The sequence below is a fragment of the Homo sapiens genome, chromosome 1 (genome assembly GCF_000001405.40).
Source record: "Homo sapiens chromosome 1, GRCh38.p14 Primary Assembly".
NCBI classification, from domain to species: domain Eukaryota; kingdom Metazoa; phylum Chordata; class Mammalia; order Primates; family Hominidae; genus Homo; species Homo sapiens.
This window is the reverse complement of record NC_000001.11, coordinates 9,180,511-9,199,087: the sequence shown is the minus strand read 5'-3', so window position 1 is coordinate 9,199,087 and position 18,577 is coordinate 9,180,511. Positions and strand designations below refer to the sequence as shown.

General features: G+C 52.8%; 2 long non-coding RNA genes across 2 annotated transcripts in view, besides 11 other annotated features; one reads left to right on the top strand and one right to left on the bottom strand.

The window, feature by feature from the left end:
* Positions 541 to 1,061: an enhancer, noted in NCBI's record as "H3K4me1 hESC enhancer chr1:9258086-9258606 (GRCh37/hg19 assembly coordinates)". NCBI's record gives its function as "activates a minimal SCP1, AML or CMV promoter by ChIP-STARR-seq in naive H9 embryonic stem cells {active_cell/tissue: H9 hESC(naive)}" and the evidence as "EXISTENCE:reporter gene assay evidence [ECO:0000049][PMID:30033119]".
* On the bottom strand, positions 7,002 to 16,884 carry LNCTAM34A (long non coding transcriptional activator of miR34a). Its single transcript, NR_132738.1, has 3 exons — positions 16,772 to 16,884; positions 15,281 to 15,455; positions 7,002 to 7,695 (listed from the first exon to the last, which is right to left on the bottom strand). It is a non-coding gene; the product is annotated as a long non coding transcriptional activator of miR34a (long non-coding RNA).
* Positions 14,752 to 15,612: an enhancer, noted in NCBI's record as "H3K27ac-H3K4me1 hESC enhancer chr1:9243535-9244395 (GRCh37/hg19 assembly coordinates)". NCBI's record gives its function as "activates a minimal SCP1, AML or CMV promoter by ChIP-STARR-seq in primed H9 embryonic stem cells {active_cell/tissue: H9 hESC(primed)}" and the evidence as "EXISTENCE:reporter gene assay evidence [ECO:0000049][PMID:30033119]".
* Positions 15,893 to 16,002: a silencer, noted in NCBI's record as "silent region_215". NCBI's record gives its function as "represses an Ori minimal core promoter by ATAC-STARR-seq in GM12878 lymphoblastoid cells {active_cell/tissue: GM12878}" and the evidence as "EXISTENCE:reporter gene assay evidence [ECO:0000049][PMID:35858748]".
* Positions 16,013 to 16,102: a silencer, noted in NCBI's record as "silent region_214". NCBI's record gives its function as "represses an Ori minimal core promoter by ATAC-STARR-seq in GM12878 lymphoblastoid cells {active_cell/tissue: GM12878}" and the evidence as "EXISTENCE:reporter gene assay evidence [ECO:0000049][PMID:35858748]".
* Positions 16,413 to 16,772: a silencer, noted in NCBI's record as "silent region_213". NCBI's record gives its function as "represses an Ori minimal core promoter by ATAC-STARR-seq in GM12878 lymphoblastoid cells {active_cell/tissue: GM12878}" and the evidence as "EXISTENCE:reporter gene assay evidence [ECO:0000049][PMID:35858748]".
* Positions 16,413 to 17,334: a biological region, named in NCBI's record as "H3K27ac-H3K4me1 hESC enhancer GRCh37_chr1:9241813-9242673".
* Positions 16,474 to 17,334: an enhancer, noted in NCBI's record as "H3K27ac-H3K4me1 hESC enhancer chr1:9241813-9242673 (GRCh37/hg19 assembly coordinates)". NCBI's record gives its function as "activates a minimal SCP1, AML or CMV promoter by ChIP-STARR-seq in naive H9 embryonic stem cells {active_cell/tissue: H9 hESC(naive)}" and the evidence as "EXISTENCE:reporter gene assay evidence [ECO:0000049][PMID:30033119]".
* MIR34AHG (MIR34A host gene) overlaps positions 16,750 to 18,577 on the top strand; it is a 34,328-nt gene continuing 32,500 nt past the window's right edge. Inside the window, exon 1 of the long non-coding RNA NR_132742.1 lies at positions 16,750 to 17,081. This is a non-coding gene — a long non-coding RNA (MIR34A host gene). The remainder of the gene's footprint in view (positions 17,082 to 18,577) is intronic.
* Positions 16,813 to 17,162: an enhancer, noted in NCBI's record as "active region_122". NCBI's record gives its function as "activates an Ori minimal core promoter by ATAC-STARR-seq in GM12878 lymphoblastoid cells {active_cell/tissue: GM12878}" and the evidence as "EXISTENCE:reporter gene assay evidence [ECO:0000049][PMID:35858748]".
* Positions 17,273 to 17,422: an enhancer, noted in NCBI's record as "active region_121". NCBI's record gives its function as "activates an Ori minimal core promoter by ATAC-STARR-seq in GM12878 lymphoblastoid cells {active_cell/tissue: GM12878}" and the evidence as "EXISTENCE:reporter gene assay evidence [ECO:0000049][PMID:35858748]".
* Positions 17,273 to 18,196: a biological region, named in NCBI's record as "H3K4me1 hESC enhancer GRCh37_chr1:9240951-9241812".
* Positions 17,335 to 18,196: an enhancer, noted in NCBI's record as "H3K4me1 hESC enhancer chr1:9240951-9241812 (GRCh37/hg19 assembly coordinates)". NCBI's record gives its function as "activates a minimal SCP1, AML or CMV promoter by ChIP-STARR-seq in naive and primed H9 embryonic stem cells {active_cell/tissue: H9 hESC(naive and primed)}" and the evidence as "EXISTENCE:reporter gene assay evidence [ECO:0000049][PMID:30033119]".

The window sequence follows — 18,577 nt, the reverse complement described above, 5'->3', positions numbered from 1 at the left end:
TATTTCTCCGCTTGCTGCGCTCCCACCCTTTGCAACTGCCCCAGCCTTGGCCAGCCCAGCCCTTGCAGCCAGCTTCTCCCGGTCTCCTTGCGCAGGGGCAGTTAGAACCCAAGCTGCAGCAGGCCCTCCCCCGCCCTCCCCGCCCGCCTGCCCGCCTGCCCGCCGCCCGGGCCAAGTCAGCAGTGCTGAGCGCTGCGGGGCTGCAGCAGCAGCCGGCGATGCGGAGACCCTGCACCACTGCTCCGGGCGGCGCTCGCGTCCCGACGGCCACCTCCTGGCGGCTGCGCGCAGCCGGCGCCGAGATCCAGACGGACGCACGGTGCTGATTGGTGCAGTGAGTGAGTCTCCGGCTTTATTTAGACCACCGTTTCTTGACGACTGTACTTCATTGGAGTTGAGGGCTCGGAGCAGCAGGCAGCCTTCCCCGTGGGAAGGATGACAAATGGGGAGTGCTGCTTCTAGGTGCTCGTACCAACTGGCTTCGTGCGTCCTGGGATGGGCGGTGTTCACAGGCGCTTCGGGGCTGAGCGCCCACCAAGTGTGGCGCGCGCTTTTGGGAAACTCCGTGGAAGACCAGGACGGACCCCTGGAGGGTTAGGAAGACTTTGAGACCAGCCAGGGGAAGCCGTGTCCCGGGCCCTGACTGTGGATCTCCTACTCTGAACCACGGACTCCAGTTTGGAAGGCCAGGCTGCCTTTCGGATTGGGGGGTAAGGAAGGGATCCCCAGCTCAGGCAGCCTTTTGGGCTAGGGCAAGGGGACCTCTGGAACCACATTTTTGAATGCTCCCACCCATGATTTCTGGGACAGCTACTGGAGACAAATAGAGGCTCGAAGGTGTCGGGAGAAAGGCTGTGTTCCTGATGTCATGTAGTTGAACTTGGATGTGGAGGAAGTCCAGCTTCCCCTGCAGAGTAAAACCAAGCCAGCGAATGTGGGTGGGGGCCAGCAGCTGCCGACCCTCCTGGGTGATGTGATGGGCTTAGGTGGTAGGAGCCAGGGGCCTGGGGCCAGAGAGGGCAGCCCTAAGGGGGTCTAGACAGCACCTTCTGCCCAGAATGGCAGCCTTTGGTACAAGTCTTTATTTATGCCAGTGGCATGAAAATGTCGCCCGATGAATCCCCAGGGGCCCGTTCTTGGCAAAAGCCCTGTCTCCCAGCAAGATGGGAAGTGATGTCACATTGCACTCTCCAGCCCGCTCTTCTGGGGTTGTTCGAGTTGTGAGATGGTTCGGTGACTGATGCCTCTCATTGTCCCAGACCTTGTGCTTCCCCTGGGAGACCCTCCACCCTGGTGGTTGCTTTTTCCTGTCCCCATGCTTTAGCTTGAGCATCTCCACCGTGGAGGCTGCCCTTGGAGGCTGCACTGTGCTGGGAGGAGAGGGAGACTGGAGAGGGAGAGGAGGAGGAGATGGCAGGGGCAGTGGGGCCCTCAGAGCTGGTGCAGTACTGTGCTGATGTCATCACTTTTGGGGGCCTGCTGAGGCCTGTGGCTGCTCCAGAATCGACACCAGGAGCCTCTTGCTCAGCCTGGGACAGGCACAGCATTGCGGCTGCCAGTCTCCCTGACAAGGACAAGACCTGCACCTTCCAGGCAGAGCCAACTGGCCAGCTGAGGTCCTGCGACTCCTGCAGGGATGAAGGTATAAGGAAAAGGTGAGGGCCACGAGAACCGGCAATGGGACGCTGGCGGGGCTCACCTGGCAAATTGGCAGCACCAGACTCCGGAAGAGAGGGAGCAGAAGGGAGGCAGGCCGGGGACTGCAGAGAAAGGCGCCAAGGCACTGGCAAGATCCTAGCGCCTCAGATCCTGACCGTGGCACCTCCCCACCGACCATTTTCACTTTTCACCCAATGCAGTCGGTAGTTTGCTCTGCGCTTCTCATTCTCAGCAGTTCTGATTAAAGATCAGATCCCATTTTCCTTTTATGCCTTTAAACTTTAAGCCTGGCCACCCAAGACAAATGCTCTATTCAAAGCTGGAAGATACTTAGAAATCATCTGTTACAAGTCCCCAAGCTCAGCGATGAGGACAGTGAGGCCCAGAGATTAACCGACTTTCCCAAGGACACAGGAAGCTCAGGGCAGACCTGGGATTCCCTGGGACATGTGGGACACGGATGAGATCATCAGCGCTCAACCCATCAGGCATCCTGACTCAGATGCAGTAGGACAAGGTAAGGAAACTGGGGGCTGGGAGTTGACAGAGACCTGGCGCCCTGAGAACCATGGGAGGAACCAACGGCAGCAGGCAGTGTGCCTGGGCACTGAACGCTGCCTTCGAGTCGGTCTGCAGCACCTCTGATTGACAACTGTCACTGGGCAAAGTGCCAGGGGGAGAAAACATTCGGCTTCTTTTATGGTTCCTCTTCTTTTCGATTCTGGAAAATCAGGGGGCACTTGAGCCCGGCGGCTGCCTGTTAGGTTATGAGCGCTGTAATTTAGGCTTCCTCCATCAGAGGGCTCCCGACGACACGGGAAGGAAACCGAGCTGCTTCCCATGGGGCGCAGTGGTTTGCAGAATGGGGTTTTTCATTTTATTCGATCCCACGGGTTCAGGCAGAAAAGTTTTTCATTATTAGACTCATAGAAACAGAAAGTTCGCCGTTCGGCATTTGTGTCATCTCCTAGGTCATCCCACATTCCATTTTCACAATACAGAGTGTGCGCTGTGGCTTCTGCTGCTGGCTCTCATTTCTTAGGGTAGGCCTGATTAGTCATGTGTGCATCTGTTATCTGAGGAAATGTAGCAATTTTCCCAGGAGGGGCCGGCCATCCTTCAACAGGGGGGCTAAGGAGAGGTGACGGCGGCCCACCAGCAACGATGAACTCAGCATTCTGATCCAGCTGCAAGATCTTGAAGCCAACCTTGGGTTTCAAGTCAGGCCTGGCGCCCACGTCTTGCCTGGGGAATGCTACTGATTGGCAGCACGAACCCAGACAGGAGCCCTCATGGATCAGCCACTGCGGCTGGGTCGCATCCTTCCCCCTCCAGCCTTTCCCTTTGGGATCTATCTCTGTGTCCTTGTTCGGGACTTGCTGTTCACAGTCTCAGTGCACTTTTGTGTCCAGTGAGTTCCCTCTTTTCTCTCAAATGGTTCCACTTGTATAATGCATACTAATGACCTTCAGCTACTCAGAGATGAATTGCTGCGGTTATCCAGAAGACAGCCCATTTTCTTGTACCAGGAGATGACCTCTCTTCTGCATGGTAAAATAGAGATCACACGGTGTCACACTAGAGGGTGGTGCTCTGGCTTAGGCAAGCATGAGACTGTGCTGTCAGCATCCGCGTGTGCGCAGCAAACTTGTCGGGAAAATGCTGCAGAGCCGGAAAGCTGCCAGGTCCTTCATGGAGATTTAGGTGGTGTCTCGGTCAACTTGACAGAGGTGGAGAAAGTTAGCTGAGAAATTTCACCAGGGTCATCTCAAATGGGGCCAATAGGCAAAATAGAGGGTTTTTTTTGACCCTCTGATGATGTAAAATTATATCTCCCAAATAATAATTTTTTTTTTTTGAGACAGGGTCTTGCTCTGTCACCCAGGCTAGAGTGCAGTGGTGTGATCTCAGCTCATTGTAGCCTCAACCTCCTGGGCTCAAGCAATCCTCTCATCTCAGCCTTCAGAGTAGCTGGGACTACAGGCGCCCACCACCGCCCCAGGCTATGTTTCTGTACTTTTTGTAGAGACGGGGTTTTGCCATACTGCTCAGTCTGGTCTTGAACTCCTGGGCTCAAGCGATCCGTCTGCCTCGGCCTCCCAAAGTGCCATCATACCTAGCCAAAGAATTATTTTTCTTTTTTTTTCTCTTTCTTTTTTCCTTTCCTTTACTTCTTTTTTTTTTTTTTTTTTTTTTGAAACAGGGTCTCAATCTGTCACCCAGGAGTGCAGTGGTGTGATCTTGGCTCACTGCAACCTCCGCCTCCTGGGTTCAATCAATTCTCTTGCCTCAGCCACCTGAGTAACTGGGACTGCAGGTGTGCATCTCTATGCCTGGCTAATTTTTTTATTTTTTAGTAGAGACCAGGTTTCACCATGTTGGCCAGGCTAGTCTCAAACTCCTGGCCTCAAGTGATCTGCCTGCCTCAGCCTCCCAAAGTGCTGGGATTACAGGCGTCAGCAACCGTGCCTGGCTCAAAGAATTCTTGATAGCACCTTCTTGATAATTCAGTTCAAGCCAACAATAATTTACTGGGCATTCACTGACATAAGAATCAGAGCCTGAACCAGGCATGGCGGCTCTCACCTGTAATCTCAACTACTTGGGAGGCCGAAGCAGGAGGATCACTTGGGCCCAGGAGTTCAAGACCAGCCTGGGCAACATAGCGAGACCTCATCTCAACAAAAATAAATAAATATGTTTAAAAAAAGAATCAGAGCTGTAAGTGTGTACAAAAAGTATAAAGTATGCCTGCCTTTAAAAATCATGGCTGGACATGGTGGCTTACGTCTGTAATCCCAGCACTTTGGGAGGCTGGAGTGGGAAGATTGCTTGAGGCCAGAAGTTGGAGACCAGCCTGGACAACATAGCAAGACCCCATTTAAATAAAATAATAATAACAGAAATTTTTAAAGAAAGAATAAAAAAGCATTTTACTATAGGGGTGGCAAGAAGGTGGCAAAGCACTAAGATCCAGGGGACCACTTTTCGGTGACAGAGTTGATGGTTCAGTTTGTGCCTTTTTCTCCTTCCCCTTTGATCCAAATCAAGAATGAAACTTTGACCTAAGGTAAAGAATGAAACTCAGACATTTTGCCAGCTTGCCAGATCACTTGTATTTAGAAGCATTGCTAGTTGACCTGTCCAATCCTGGGTCTCAGATTCCTATTGCAGGGCTTATGTCAATATCTGTCACTTACAGCCGGGCATGGTGACTCATGTCTGTAATCCCAATACTTTGGGAGGCCGAGGTGGGTGGATTGCTTGAGCTCTTCTGAGCTCGTAGTGAGCAGCCTGAGCCACATAGTGAGACTCCATTTCTACCAAAATTAGCTGGGTATGCTGACATGCACCTGTCGTCCCAGCTACTTGGGAGGCTGAGGTAGGAGGCTAGCTTGAGCCAGGGAGGTGGAGGTTGCAGAGAGCCGAGATCATGCCACTGCATTCCAGCCTGGGCAACCTGACCCTTCTGAGACAGAACCAGACTCTGTCTCAAAAAAAATAATATCTATCTATCTATCTATCTATCTATCTATCTATCTATCTATCTATCATATATATCTGTCACTTGTTTTCTTGGGGGTGTGTTGCTTCAGGGTCTGTCTGCTGGAGGTGGGGCATTTAGCTGTGCTTTGTGTTCAAAGGGGCATTCAGATATGTTTATATCATTACTAGTAAATGGCACAATTATATTGTGTTGCAGTGTGTGTGTGTGAAAGCATTCTATTTTTAAATTTTAAATGTTTTAAAGCATGCATTTTTCTAACCTGTTATTTCTTCCTGTTGCAAAATCCCAGGTCCCCTAAAACATGGTGGTGGCCTGTGTGTCTCACGTTCTCTCAGAGACCCTGCCTTGCCCTATGCAAGCCATCGCCACTTCGTGGTCTGAAGGTCACCTTGCCTTGTAGCCCAAATGTTGTAAATAGTCTGCTCAAGGTCTGAGAGACATCAGGTTTCCTTCTGTGTAATAAATGTGCTTATTTCACAATAGGGAATGCATCAGGCATAAGTATTTTTTTAAATACAAATTTGGCTTTTCTTCAAAACGAGAGGGCTAAGATAGGGCTGGCTCACGATAAAATTGTGAAATGGGCTGAGTTTGTCTTTGGTGCTCCTCTGCTGTCCTCACTCCACTACCCTCCCAGGATCCCTCATAGGCTCAAAGGGGCCCCAGGTGGCCAAGAAGCCTCTGTATAGCACCTTCACTCAGCCTGGTGGCCTGAGAGCCTTGTTTGTGTTGTATCTGGCCCACGTCTGTCTTCTCCCTTCAACATTTGCAAAGCATGTTGGGGATCCGGTGCACATAACATCTCTCTCTGTTAAGGCACAAGGTCTCTCAGGCATTTCCTGGGGTCTGCAACACTTTTAACTCAAAGGAGGGGGTTCCTGCCAGAGAGAGAAGGTTGGCGAGGGGCAGGCACTGTGTTTCAGCAGACCTGCCACGTGCCCCACAAACTGCCTTGATGTGCACCTGGACCTAGAACTGGTTTAGTTTTCATACCGCTTTGCCACTTGGCTTCTTTAGGTCCCCAGAGGCCAGAAGTCGCTGCCTTCCCAAGAGATTCCTTCAAGGCAGTTGGGAGAGACACAGCTCCAGGGAAGCAGCTCTGTGAGTGCCCTTCCCTCTTCCAGCCAGGACTCTGGGTGCTGTCAACATGCAGTTTTCTGAGGGCTGTTCTGAGCTTTCTTCCTATTTATAGAAAGACATGGGTGATGCTGAGTGCACAGCTTACTACAGTGAAAGGAGTGATGGCTGCAAACATGTACAAAAATGTGGCCATGTCTGTCAGAAGGATCGAGGGCTTAGTGCCGGTGTGGCAAGGTAGAGAAGGGGTTCCGCTAAGGACAGTGACCTGCACCTCCCATGGGCGCTACCCCGCGGTCCTCATGTTGGAAGTATTTATATGTCCTAGGATCTGGGTGCTTTTCTTTTTTCTTTTTCCTTTTCTTTTTTTTTTTTTGAGATGGAGTTTCACTCTAGTGCCCAGGCTGGAGTGCAGTGGTGCAATCTCTGCTCATTGCAACCTCTGCCTCCCAGTTCAAGCAATTCTCTCACCTCAGCCTCCCGAGTAGCTGGGATTACAGGTGCCTGCCACCACGCCTGGCTAATTTTTGTATTTTTAGTAGAGATGGGGTTTGACCATGTTGGCCAGGCTGGTGTCAAACTCCTGACCTCAAGTGATGCGCCTGCCTCGGCCTCCCTAAGTGCTGGGATTACAGGTGTGAGCCACCACGCATGCCCGGCCATGGGTGCTTTTTCTTTCTCTTTCTCTTGATCTCTGCCATCCTTTAGTGTAGATTGACCTTAGATGGGCAGTCCATTCCACCAATGACTGTGATTCTTTAACAAGAATTCTGTTTATTGAGGGTTCCACTGATGCCAGCATTTCTACAGCCTTCTCCATGCCAGGACCTCAAAGCCCAGGCAAGGAATTCTATTCAGCCCACCTTTCAGTGGGTGACCCTTTCTCCTATAGACCAATTCCTATACCCTGCTGGCATGGATTCCTTTTTCTTTTTTTTCTTTCTCTTTCTTTCTTATTAATAGACTTATGTGGTTATCTGCATGAGAAATGAAGTGCTTATGTTAACATTTTCTGAATTGGGAGGGGATGGTTACTGTTCCCCTCCATGGGCCTTTGTCTCTAAGAGATGAGCACTTCCTTAGTACCGCTCCCGCTGATGTTTCCCTGGGGGCCCAGGATGGATACAGCCTTAGGTTCCGTGTCCTGTTGCTGTTACTGATGGCCGCAACTAATGACGGATGGCCACCTCTCCCGCCCTAGTCTGTTTCATTCCTTTGGCTTCAGGGAGGGGAAGAGTTGCCTTCTTCGCAACTCCTTGTACGTAGGAACAAGAAGCCAAAGTAGTGGGCCCAGGAGGGAGGAGAGCCAGGCTTCTGGAGACGGGAACCAGGCCTTCTGAACCCACGGGGGCTCCACAGCTGTTGCTTCTGAATGCTCAGGCATCTGATCTGCCGTTGTTATCTGATAGGTTCATTTGCCCGATGTGCCGCGAGCCAGTATACTGAGACATCTGGAACCGCAGCAGAGAAAGAGTTTAAATCATAGGGCAGCCACATGAGAAGTTGGGGGGAAACCTCAAATCTGCCTCCTGAGGAGTTTGGGTTCAGGGATTTTAAGGGGTTTGGAGTGGGCCAAGCTGTGGGGATCATTGACTGGTCGAAGGGTGCAGGGTGAAGTTAGAGTGGGGGAACCTTTCAGGTGGAAGATAAGATGAGCACAGGCAGAGGCGGGGTAGCCAGTACTGGTTTCTTGTTCGTAAATGTTTCTGTAGCACTTACCAGGTGGTAGACTGTTTTGGATGCTGAGATCCAGCAGTGGACAAAACTAAGCCATGCCCACATGCAGCTTCCATTCTAGTGGTTGCTGGGGGAGACAGACAATAAACGGATGGGCAGAATTCTGTTCTGATGGTAAATATGTGGACAGGCAGGAAAGCAAGTGAGCAGGTGGGGCTGATCTGAAAAGGCCTTGTCAATCGGCAGGTATTTGATCAGGGAACAGGAGGAAAGGGGGAACAAGTCACGTGGGCATCTAGGGGAGAAGCAGTCCTGGTCGGGAACCGCAAATGAAAAGGTCCTGATGTAGGACCAGGCCTGGAGCGTTCCAAGATCAGCAAGGAGGCGGGAACAGAGTGAGACGGCTCCTGGATGCCACATGGAAGATGGACTTTGGGAAGCAAGGGCCCTGGGAAACCAGCTAGGAGGCCAGGACAATCATCCAGGCAAAAGAATGATCATGAGCCAGGTGTGATGGCTCACACCTGTAATCCCAGCACTTTGGGAGGCCGAGGTGAGCAGATCACTTAAGTCCAGGAGTTTGAGACCAGCCTGGGAAACATAGCGAAATCCTGTCTCTAAAAAAATTAGCTGGTCATGGTGGCATGCAATTAACTACTCAGGAGGCTGAGATGGGAGGATCGCTTAAGCTCTGGAAGAGGAGGTTGCAGATAGCTTGAGCTCTGGAGGCGGAGCTGAGATTGCACTACTGCACTCCAGCCTGGGCAACAGAGTGAGACCCTGTGTCAAGAAAGAGAACAATAGTAGCTTGGACAAGAGTAGAAGCGATGAATGTGATGAGAAAAAAACAGAGAAGTGTTTGGATCCTGAGTGTATTTTACAGATGGAGGCAGCAGGCTTTGCTGATGGATTGGATGTAGGCTAAGTCAGGAGCCAAGAATGGCCTGCAAGGTTTTTGGCCAGGCACTAGAAGGTTGGAGTTGGTACCTATGGAGATGGGGAAGACTTCAGAGGAGCAGTCTGGGTAGGCAGGATGCAATCAAGACTTTTGTTTTGGAAACACAACTTTGGAGATTCCTACCACACATCTATAGGACTTGGAATTGGCAGTTGGCTATGAGAGTCTGGAGGTGAGAGAAGTGGTGGCTGCAGATAGTAACTCGGGAGGCATCAGAGTACAAATGTTATTCAAAACTAGGAGGCTGGATGAAATCACCCGGAAAGGGAGTGTAGGTAGAGACGGGGTCCAAGGACCAGGCCATGGGGTCCTCTAACACAAAGAGGGTGGGGGCTGGAGGAGGAACCAGCAGAGGAGACTGAAAAGGAACGGCCAAGGAAGTAGGTGAGAACCAAGGAGTGGCATCTAAAGATCCAAAGGAGTAAAAACAGGAGTTCTAAAGATCTGGAGGGGGCCCGCTGTGTCAAATTACGTTGATGAGCCCAGCAGACAGTTCTTGAAACTGACCATTGGATTTAGCAACATGGAGGTCAACTTGTGACCTTGATAAGATACGAGTAGAACAAAAGCAAGCTTTTATGCTGCCTCTCTAGACCCAGTGCCCAGAAAGGGAAGGATCTCTCAGACTGGGGCTCATGGTAGCAAAACTGGGTGGCACTGGCTGGGCAGCCTTCAGGTTCTGTAGACCTCAGCAGCTCAGCGGAGGCCTGTCCCTTCTACCGTAAGTTTCAGCAGCTGCAGGACCTGGGGACCTGTCCTCTGTCTCCAGTGTTTGCAGAGAGGTGCCTCCAGGCCCCTGGTCTCGGGGGCCAACGGAATCTAGTTCTAGTCTTTTTTTTTTTTTTTTTTTTTTTGAGGCGGAGTCTCAGTCTGTCACTCAGGCTGGAGTGCAGTGGTGTGATCTCAGCTCACTGCAACCTCCGCCTCCTGGGTTCAAACAATTCTCCTGCCTCAGCCTTCCGATTAGCTGGAATTACAGGCATGCGCTAGCATGCCCTGCTACTTTTTTTGTATTTTTAGTGGAGACGGGGTTTCACCATGTTAGCCAGGCTGGTCTCGAACTCCTGACCTCAAATAATCCGCCCGCCTCAGCCTCCCAAAGTGCCGGGATTACAGGTGTGAGTTGCCGTGCCCAGCCACTAGTTCTAGTGTTATCGTGAGCTGCCAGGTTTTCAGCACCAGCTGTCCAGCACAAGTGACCCATCAGACTTTTCAGAAGATTTTGCTAAGACTCAGTCACACTATTGCACTTCAAATGTCTTCCACGTGCTCATATTCAGATTGCTGTATTATAATCAAAGCACATCGGCCAGCTTTATATTGAAAGACCTTCTTCAGCCTTCAACTAGTTCAAAGGATGATGTGGTGACCAAAGAAGTCTGCATACTATGTTGCATTTGCTTGGGGATCCCAGACCACCAATGTGAATTGTCACGGAGACCCCTACCAATACCTACTGTGCTTCATGAATGAACGGCATTCAAGATCCCTAGAGTAAGCACAGCAGATGGACGGCGGTGTTATGGGGCTTTCTCGTGAGGCCCGTCCACGTAACCAGTGACAGCGAGCCTATGAGGGGTGCAGCCAGGCTTGCAGCTTTCTGAGGCTCCGGCTTAATGCAGCAGAGACTTTAGAGCTGTATTGTCCAATACAGTAGCCACTAGCCAGGTGGGTGAATACAACGAGGAAATGAATTTTAAATTTTAATTAATTCAAATAGTCACATGTAGTTAGTGGCTATCCTATTGGACATTGACTGGCAGCCTTGGGGTAAGCTGGTGCTCCCAGGGTTCTTTAGGTGGGGGGATCCTTGGACAGGGAAAACGCCCTTCCCACAGTCCTTAGAAGTGGAGCTTCAGGTCAGTTTGGTCATTAAAAGGAAATTGGGGCTGCACACAGTGGCTTATGCCTGTAATCCCAGGACTTTGGGAGGCCAAGGTGGGTGGATCACCTGAGGTCAGGAGTTCGAGACCAGCCTGGCCAACGTGGTGAAACCCCATCTCTACTAAAAATTAAAAAAAAAAAAAGAGCTGGGTGTGGTGGCATGCGCCTGTAATCTCAGGTACTCGGGAGGCTGAGGCAGCAGAATCACTTGAACCTGGGAGGCGGAGGTTGCAGTGAGCCGAGATCGTGCTACTGCACTCCAGCCCGGGCAACAGTGTGTGACTCTGTCTCAAAAAAACAAAAAAAAAACACAAAAATTAGCTGGGCCTGGTGGCAGGCACCTGTAATCCCAGCTACTCAGGAAGCTGAGGCAGGAGAATCGCTTGAACCCAGGAAGTGGAGGTTGTAGTGAGCAGCTGACCTCCAGCCTGGGTGACAGAGTGACACTCTGTCTCAAAGAAATTAAAAAAATAAAAAAAAAAAGTAAAGGAGAACTGGGCCCGTTTTGACCTCAAGCTGGAGAAATGGGACATACCTGTTAGATGTATTTGTGAAACATGCAGGCAGCAAACAGACCTGGATGCATCTCACTTCTCTGGGCTTGAGGTCAGGGGGTTTCCGTGCATTATGATGAAAATGCAGGAGTTTCTCTCTGTGCCTGCTGTGTTTGTGAAATGGTGCCCTGTGTGTTCTGCGGAGGCGCGGAGTGGAGGGGAGTGTTCGCTGCCCCGCCTTTGGGGGTCCAGCAGAGGTCCAAATCTCACGTCTGTTGCTTACACACTGTAGGACCTTAGACAGGGTCGTGAGAATGAAGCTTCTCTGAGTCTCAGTTTATCTGCTAAATGGGCATAATACTAGGGATTTTACAGAGCTGTGGGGGGGATCAAAAGAGAAAGTCTGTAAAACACGTAACCGTACATAACATATACAATACAGACTCGATATGACAGCTAAATAATACATCTTTATGTATTAAATATCATTCCATCTATTGATTGTCAATCTCCTAAGAATAAACTGACCTCTCTCTGTCCTCAATTTAATTGGGAAAAAGGTTGCTTTGAGGCATGAGCCAAGGAATGGTTTTAGGAAAATAAACTTCTGGAAAATAAACAGAAGCTGAAAGCTACATTCGGTTAAAATGTCCAGTCAGCAAAGCAGTAAGTAAATACCTAAAAGTAATTTCCCCCTTTGTACAGTATTTTGAATTCTTGCATTTATTTGCCATTTTTAATCTGGTGGCAATTTCTTCACCAACACAACAAATTGGGCTTCCTTATTGAGAGATGGGGCCTTGTAAGTACTAGGTGGGCTCTTTGGAGCACCCCCAGCCATGCGGCATCACCCCCTGCCCCGCCCCCCCCCACACACACCCACCCATACACGGAGGCCTGTCCATCACCCCACCAAGCAGTTCTCTGATCTCAGGGTGCAGTGAAGAAAGCCCCTTCCTCTGAGACCCCTTCCTTCTGCAGGGTGCAGTCTGGGGCCCTGTGTCCCTGCAGTTCTGTCTGCAGGGGGTGTAAGAGACAGGTTGCCCAGGCCTCTTGATGATGTGCCGCCGTGGCCACTACAGCCCCCTGCAGAGACCCGCTGCAGCCCTAGGATGGCTGATCTTGTGTACTCCCTACTGAAATGAGATCATCTAAGTTAGCAGAGTTGCTGTTTATCAAGAGTGCTGAGGCTTTCCGGTAACTAGCTGGGTTTATGCCATATATTTCAGCCAGTAAGGAAGAATGCGAATGGTGGCTTTTTTTTTCTTTTAACTGAGATGAACCTACATACCATAAATTTCACCATCTTAAAGTATACAACTCTGTAGGTTTTAGTATATTCACTAAGTTTTACAACCATCACCACTATCTCATTCCAGAACATTCTCATCCTTTAATTCATTTATTTTTAAAATTTTAAATTAATTGGTTAATTTTTAGAGACAGGGTCTCCCTCTGTTGTCCAGGCTGAAGTGCACTGGTGTGATCTTGGCTCATTGCAGCCTCAGACTCCTGCCTCAAGTGATCCTCCTGCCTCAGCCTCCTGAGTAGCTGGGACTACAAGTGTGCACCACCATGTCTGGCTAATTTTAAAATTTTTTGTAGAGATGGGGTCTCACTATGGTGCCCTGGCTGGTCTCAAGCTCATCCTCCTTTTTAAATTCTCACTTTTGAACAAGATGGAGCCATGGGCTCCCTGGAGATCCACATTCCTTGGGTTCCTTGCCAGGCTTTCCCATTGGCTTGGATTGAGATGTTTCTTTCCCAAGCACTTTACTGAGTTCATTTTTCTCATCTGAGGTGAAAAGGTAATCTCAGAGCGGGAGGCCAGCAGGGCATGGTGGCTCACGCCTGTAATTCCAGTGCTTCGGGAGGCCGAGGTGGGTGGATCACTTGTGGTCAGGAATTCGAGACCAGCCTGACCAACATGGTGAAACCCCATCTCTAGTAGAAATACAGAAATTAGCCGGGCATGGTGGCGGGCGCCTGTAGTCCCAGCTACTCAGGAGGCTGAGGCAGGAGAATCGCTTAAATCCCAGAGGCAGAGGATGCAGTGAGCCGAGATCATGCCACTGCACTCCAGCCTGGGCGACAGACTCTGTCTCAAAAAAAAAAAAAGGTTGGGGCATGCCGAGCAGGCAGTCACCACCACGCCTGGGCCTCTGGGCCTCTGTGGTTAAATGTAGGACTCAAGGAAAGGCTTCCTGAGGGACCGTTGTGCACCGTGTCTGGGGTTGTGGGCGTCCTGCGCCAGGGGCAGATAGTGGAGGCTTGTCCGTGCTACCTCTGTGGTTCCCTTTCTCCAAAGCCCTCTTGACTGTGGCTTGTAAGTTAAAGGTGTAGGTTAGAGATGTGGCTATCTCAGTGCTCGGTGGATTCTAGAGGAGATATGGGTGGGTTCGGTGTCCCCACACCTGGCAGGGCTGGGGAGAAGTGAGACACAGTTTGGCAGATAGTGAGGCCTTTATAAAACATTATTTGTCAACACAAAAATGTTTAAAGAAAAAAAAAATGAGGCCTAGCCTTGGTGTGCCCTCTCTGGATGGAAAAATAGATAAGAATCAGGTTATTTCAATTCTCTAGCTGGCAGTCTGGTGTCTCTAAAGCAGATTCATCCCACTGTTAGCTGCCCAGGTCCAGGCATTTTGGTGGCTCTGAAAGGAAAGCAAGAAAAAAAGAGCCCACAAGGGTGGGGACCTCCAAGGAGAATGCTCCCAGGTCTGTCTGCAAGGAACAGAGAACCAATGAGCACCAATGTTCCCTCAATGCCTGGAACAAAACAGGTGCTTCATAGAGATGTTTTAGAAGAGCGACTGCATGCATGAGAGGGCCTACTGTGTGCAGCCACTCTGTCTTGCACAGTCCTTATCATCACCCTGGGGGTAGGGAGGTGTGCATTCATTTCATTCATTCATTCATTCATTCATTCCACAGTACTTATTGCATCCATACTAGGAGCCTGATGCTGTCGGTGTACACGAGGACACACGCTCAGCATGCGTAAGCAATTTGCGAAGTTGAGGCAGGATGGCAGGTACATGAGGAGTGAGGGCTTGGAGAACCGACAGGCGCCACCTTGGGTCGTGGGTCCACCCCGCTCTCCTCCCTGCGTTGGTTGTGGCCAACCCAGTCTTACCTTTCAGGTCCTAATTTCCTCACCTGTAAATGCAGCAGTCCTAGGACTTATCTCAAAGGGCTTTTTGAAGATTGAATGAGATTATTTGGGGGTGCAGGGAGAGGTTGGGAAGATGCTGGCACATTGCCCAGGCCATGTAGTGAGTCAAGGTTGGAACCCACTTTTGTCTGATCAGAAAAGCAGACCTCGGCCAGGTGTGGTGGTTCACACCTGTAATCCCAGCACTTTGGGAGACCGAGATGGGTGGATTACCTGAGGTCAGGAGTTTGACCTCAAGTCAGGAATTTGACCTGACTGGCCAACATGGTGAAACCCCGTCTCCACAAAAATTAGTTGGGCATAGTGGTGGGCACCTGTAATCCCAGCTACTCAGGAGGCTGAGGCAGGAGAATCACTTGAACCTGGGAGGTGGAGGTTGCAGTGAGCCAGGGTCAGGCCATTGCACTCCAGCCTGGGCAACAAAAGTGAAACTCCGTCTCAAAAAAAAAGAAAAAAGCAGACCTCTCCCTTGCCATGGGCTGCCTCTAGGACCCATCTGCCTCCTTTTATCCCTCTGAGTCTTTGAGGATCTGAGAAGCCCTTCACCTACTTGCCCTGTGGTGACAGGCACTCTGGACTGAGAGTGGGTATGGGATTGCCCCCCAGCAACAGGTGTAGGAAAAGTAGGCCTGACCTGCAGCCATCCACCTGCACCTGGGCGTTCTCACCTGCCAGCTGGCTCACGGCTTCTCTAGCACTGTTCTAGAATCACGGAGGAGTTTGGAAAACATGGGCTCATCACAGACACCTGTGAGAATAGGCTCACCGCCCCTCCCCTGTGAGAATGGGGGCAGGTCACCCCTGGCCTCCTCTCAGGCCCCCGAGGGTGCCCAAATGTGATTACGCACCTGGGTAGCATTCGCTTCCCTGTCCTCCTCCTAAAGAATCGTCTTCTCCCAGTGCCGGAGGAATGAGTCCCCCGTTCTCACCCCGGGGAGCGGTTGCCTCGTGAGTCCAAGGAGAATCCGCCCTTTCGTTTTGCGCAGGTGGAGATCTCGCGGGCCCAGTTCGGAGTCCTGCAAACTGTGAGTGTGCGAGGAGGGCTTGTTTCTGATGAAACCATTTCTGTCCCGTAACAACCCTGAGGGCAGAAACCCTTACAAAAGGAGCCACCGAGAGATTTGCTGTCCGCTTGATACTGGGGCACGGTGGTCCTGGGGGCAGCTTGTCCCGGAAGGGCGCGGGGCGCACTGGCTGGGATCTATAATGGTTGGGGCAGGAGGGTGGGTGGGGAGCCCCTTCTCCATGGCGGCGGGAGGTCTTCGGCGCTGCCCCTGCCCGCGCCTCCCTGCCCACCCCAAGGGCGCCCGACCGTGCGCGCAGGGCAGCGTGGAAAGGGTGGGAAATGCAGGGAGCGCGCCTTGGGGGCTGCCCCATGCTCCCCCCTGTAGCTCCGCGCTCAGGACCCGCGTCCGACTTTGCGTCTCTGGGAACCTTTAAGGCCGGTGAGGGGGGCTGAGCCGCGGCCCCTCGGCTGAGCCAAGCCCTGCCCCACGCAAGGTCCCCAGCCTGGCGCACCCGGCTCCCCAGCGCCGCGCGCCGGCCATGTCCCTTCCCACCCCAGCCCCCCGGGACCCGAGAGCCGTGCGGGGCCGAGCCTCGTGCCCCGAGGCACGCCGAGCCAAGTCACCCCTGCAGCCCGCGGCGCCGGAACTTGGGGGCGCAGTGAGTGGGGGCAGGGCGCCGGGCCGGCGGGCGGTGGCCGTGGCTGGGTGCCGGTTCCTGGCTTTAGAAGTCCTTTCGCATCTTGTTGAATCCGGGGCTGCATTGGCCCTCCGAGCTCTCCGGACTGGCAACGTCGCAGAGACAACAGGTCCTGACCCGGGACAGACCCCACACCCGCGTCCAGGACGTGGGTTTCTTCCCTCTTCCAGGCGAGAGGCCCTCGGACTGGGCGTCGCGGCGAGCCCCCCGTGGTTTCTGTTTGCTTTTGTACGGTCCCCCTTCCCCCCACCACCCTGTCCCGGCCCCACCCGGGCCTTGGTCCCACCGCGAAGGGGCGAGGAGTCCCCGGAAGGGTCGCGATGGCCGGGGAGTCCGGGACCTCGGCTCTGGGTAGGCGCGCCCCGCGACCCAGCGGCGGCGTGGGCGAGGGGCGCTGCGCAAACTACGCGCTCTCGCTGGGGAAACGCCAGCCCAGGCGGGCGGCGGCGGTGAAGGGGATGAGGACCAGGACCCCGTGCCCGGCGGGACTGGCCCCGCACCCCACGCCGCCCCCCTGCGGTGCGCACCGCATCTGCGCCCTAGGCCGAGGCCAGGCTCCGACCCCTCCCCCGCACCGACGTGATTCGGATCGCGCGGTGCTGGCGCCGCCTTCATGCGCCCTGCCTGGCCCCCACCTGGTCCTCTTTCCTTTTCAGGTGGAGGAGATGCCGCTGTCCCGTCGGTCTGGGGACAGCCCAGCTCCCCGGATCCCGGGCTGGAGAGACGCGTCGCGGCCCCGGGGCCTGGTGGCACGAGCAGGAAGGAGGACCCGGCGGCGGGCTCTGCCTGGGCTTGCCTGGGCTTGTTCCGAGCCGGGCTGCTTCTCGGTGACCACGCAGATCGGGGGCATTTGGAGATTTTGCGGGAGTCCTGCAGCCAAGCTCCGGGGCAGGAGAGGCCTGGAAGCCTGCACTACCTGCTCGCCCCGTCCCAGCATGCACCCAGGTAAACGCTTGTGTTTCTCAGTCCGTGCGAAAGTTTGCAAAGAAGGAGGCGGGAACTAGACCAACAACTTTAATAATCATAGTCATAATAATGAAAACCCTGTTCAATTGTGTAGCCTCCGTAAGGGGAAGAATTTCCAAGAAGCAACAAAATGTTCTTTGATTTCATAATCTCTGGGGAGAAAGGATTCCTTTTTTGGGGTTTTGCTCGGCTAGTTCTTTCTTCCCTCCTCTATCTCCAGCGTGGGGCGAGGAAGGCCGACTGGTTCATGGGTGGCAAATGGGGACCCTGGCTCTCTTGCGCTGCTGGCCACGGTGATATTGCAGCAAATGCTCAACCTCCCCAGTTCCTCTCCTCACCTTGAAAGTGGAGGCATTGATACTAGCCACCCATGGTTGCAAAAAACTCGCATGAAAGGGAAAGGAAAAGTGCTTCGGTCACTAAAGTAGCGTTGTCTAAGAGGTCAAGGCTTTGGAAGACTTTTGCTCTAGAAGAGGGGAACGGGAGAGGGGCTTTCAGCCAACCTGGCCCCGAGGTGAACGCGCGCGCCCCCTGCTGGCTGGAGCCCTGTCCAGCCTGTGAGCCGCCAGTGGGGAAGGAGACTGAGGGGAGGTGGTCCCTGGAGTTCCTTGCTCCTGGCCTGGAGCAGCAGGTGCCAGTGCTCCTGAGGCCCCCTCTCTCAGGTTACGTGGATGGGGCCTGTAGCACAGACAGGGCACATGCTTCAGCACCTCCCTGTTTCTGCGTCAGGTGGGGGACATGAGCTAGGCTCTGCAGAAGGTTCCAGAGCCTGGGCCTTCCTGTTGCATCCACACTAGGCTCCTGGAGCCCAGAGGTGGCTGGGATCTCTGCATACATGCATGTGAAACTCTAGCAGATACCAAGTCATGTTAAGGGGGCTAAACGGCCCACTGCAGTTATGTTAGCCAGTTCTGCCTCTGCCCAGTTCTGAGATATCTTTGGGACAAATGGCCACTCCTCTGAGCCCCTGTGTCTTCCTGCATGAGCCACAAATGCTGTGTAGTCATGGCTGAGGAAGAGGGAAGGTACCTGTGCTTGCAAACATTCCTCTTGAAGGACTATCCAGGAGCAGAGGGAGCAGCTGGGGGCAGCATCAGTTGGTACCTGAGCCCATTGGCACCTACTGCCACATGGGGTAGTGGCCTGTCTCCTGAGCTTCCCCAAGCTGGCCAAAACTGGCCAGGACTGCCCTGCTCTCCCCTCCCAATCCAGCTTTCTCTTGGGCCTCCAGGATCCCTTGGCTAGCTGGTGTGGTGGCCATGAGGACTGCACTTTTGCACCCCACCCCTGCCCTTGGCACACATCGCAAATCAATAATGCTAAACCTAGACAGGCCCCCAGGTCTTTCTGATCATAGCATCCATGCAGTGCTTCCCATTGATTGTGTCACCTAATTGCCAACCCAGCCCTACACCTGCCCTTGTAACTGGTCCCTGGGCCGGGGGGTGTAGGAGGATGCAAGGATGAACAAGATG